Source organism: Homo sapiens, chromosome 6, assembly GCF_000001405.40.
Source record: "Homo sapiens chromosome 6, GRCh38.p14 Primary Assembly".
Lineage (NCBI taxonomy): Eukaryota > Metazoa > Chordata > Mammalia > Primates > Hominidae > Homo > Homo sapiens.
Window position 1 is genome coordinate 25,752,167 of NC_000006.12, and position 2,532 is coordinate 25,754,698.

At 40.6% G+C, this 2,532-nt stretch overlaps 1 protein-coding gene across 1 annotated transcript in view; it reads right to left on the bottom strand.

Annotated features, from left to right (window-relative positions):
- The window catches only part of SLC17A1 (solute carrier family 17 member 1), a 108,310-nt gene that overhangs the window by 28,424 nt on the left and 77,354 nt on the right, over positions 1-2,532 (bottom strand). The gene's annotated exons all lie outside the window — the stretch shown is intronic.

Genomic DNA, 2,532 nt, shown 5'->3' on the forward strand with positions numbered 1-2,532 from the left:
TGTGTGGATACCATAGAGTGCAGTTACACAAACCTAGATGGTAGAGCTTGCTATACACCTAGGTTATGTGGTCTAGCCCATTGCTCCTAGGCTACAAACCTGTACCACATGTTACTATACTGAATATTGCAGGCAATTAAAACAGTGATATCTGAGAATCTGAACATATCTAAACATAGAAAAGGTACAGTAAAAAGATAAAAAATGGTATGTCTAGGAGACTTATCATAAATGGAGCTTGTGAGACTGGAAGTTACTCTGGGTGAGGCAGTGAGTGAATGTGAAGGCCCAGGACATGCCTGTACACTGCTGTAGACTTTGTAAACACTGTGCACTTAAGCTACACTAAGTTTATAAAAAAATTTTATTTCTTCAATAATAAATTCTAGCTTACTATTTCATTTTGACTTTATAAACTTTTAAATGTTTTTAAACTTTTTGACTCTGGTAATCACAGCTTAAAACACAAACATATTGTACTGCTGTACAAAAATATTTTCTTTAGGCCGGGTGCGGTGGCTCACGCCTGTAATCCCAGCACTTTGCGAGGCTGAGGTGGGCGGATCACAAGGTCAGGAGATCGAGACCATCCTGGCTAACACAGTGAAACCCCGTCTCTACTAAAAATACAAAAAATTAGCTGGGCGTGGTGGCAGGCGCCTGTAGTCCCAGCTACTCGGGAGGCTGAGGCAGGAGAATGGCGTGAACCCGGGAGACAGAGCTTGCAGTGAGCCGAGATCACGCCACTGCAGTCCAGCCTGGGCAACAGTCTGAGACTCCGTCTCAAAAAAACAAAAAAAAACAAAAAAAAAACACCAAACATTTTCTTTATACCCTTATTCTATAAGCTTTGATCTATTTTTAATTTTTAAAAATTAAAAAAGATTTATTAAAACTAAGACACAAATATGCAAGTTAGCCTAGGCTGACACAAAATCAAGACCATATTAGAGGCTTCTTGGAAAATCTATTTTCAAGTGTTTTACTTTTCTAACAACATTGGTAAAACACTTGGCAATCATCTTGGGGAATTGGGCATCACTGACAGGAGGAACTGCAAGTGTAAAGGCCTTGAACTTCATGGACAAGGCAGAACTAGTTGGAATTTAGTGAGGGAAGGACAGCAGGGCAGAGGTCAGTAAGGTTGGTGTGTCCAAGGTGATGTAAGGTGTTGGAGCACCTTCAGGAAGGTGAATTTGCTCTCTTTTCTCCTAGGTTCTCTGGGAAGGCTTTGGAAGACTTTTACACCAGTAAGTAACATGATCATATGTACATTTCCAACATTCTGCCTGCTATGTGGGGTGGATTAAAAGAGAGAGAATGGAAACAGTGGGGCCCGGTAAATAATCATTTTATTTACCCTGGTGATAGATGATTGTGATAGGAATGGAGAAAATAAAAAATAATGGAAAGAGATGAAGGTGGAACTGATAGAACATACTGTTGGAATTAATGTTGATGGAAAGTATAGAATGAAGGCTGACTTTTTTTTGGCAAGATTAACAGGGAAATGGTAATGCCATTAACCAAGATGGGGGATCCTGGGCCAGGAGTAGGGTTGGAGGGAGATTCAGTTCTGCTTGCAGTCATAAGACTGAGATACCTAATGGGTACTCAAGGAGAGATGGATGAAGTTGAAGTCGAAGCTCAGAGAAGAGGTCAGAATTGGGTGTGAAAGGAAAGGGGACTGGCTGAGATCTCCTTGGGAGTGAGTTTAGATAGGGAGGAAGTTCAAGGACAGAGTCTTAGGCATATCAACATTAGAAACCAGAGAAAAGATAAGGATTCAGCAAAACGTATTGACAAGGAACAACCAATGAGACACGAGGAAAATCAGATCTGAATGAATTAAATGAAACAAGGCATCAAGAAGGAACGAGTGGTGGAATCTGTCAAGCACTGACAGATGGGGCCTGGGATGTGACCACTGGATTTGCTGGCAGAGAGGCTGGTGATGGCTTTGCTAAGGGCTGTCTTGTTGCTGATGGATTCATGAGAAAACTAGAGGTGGGGAACCAGAATGCAAATATGTATGAGTCTTCTGAAATGTTTTGCCATAAAAGGGAGGAGAATCACAGAGTTAATTTTCATGGAAAACTCAATGGCCTTTGTGCAAAAAATTACAATCAGAAAACCATAAAAATCACTCAAGTCGACCAAAATGTATTAAGTCTCTCCTCTTTGGAAAGCTCAGTTCTATTAAACAGCAGGATGGTGGAAAAGGGACTCAAAAGGGGCAAAATATACCCCATCTCCATGAAGATTATAATAACTCTGAGAGACCCCAGAAGGGGATAGTGCTGTCAGTGAAACATGTGGGGTGTCAGGATCCTTATAAGAAGGGACATTGATTCTGATTAAGGATGAGGGAAGACATAGGTGACCTCAGCTGGGCTTGAAGCATGAGGAAGATTTAATGAGCTTGATTTGATTATCAATCAAACAATAAAATGTAAAGTTAAAAATTAAACCACTGGGCCAATAAAATTCTCCAAGCTGGTAACATAAGGGCTAAAGGTTTTGGGTAATTAT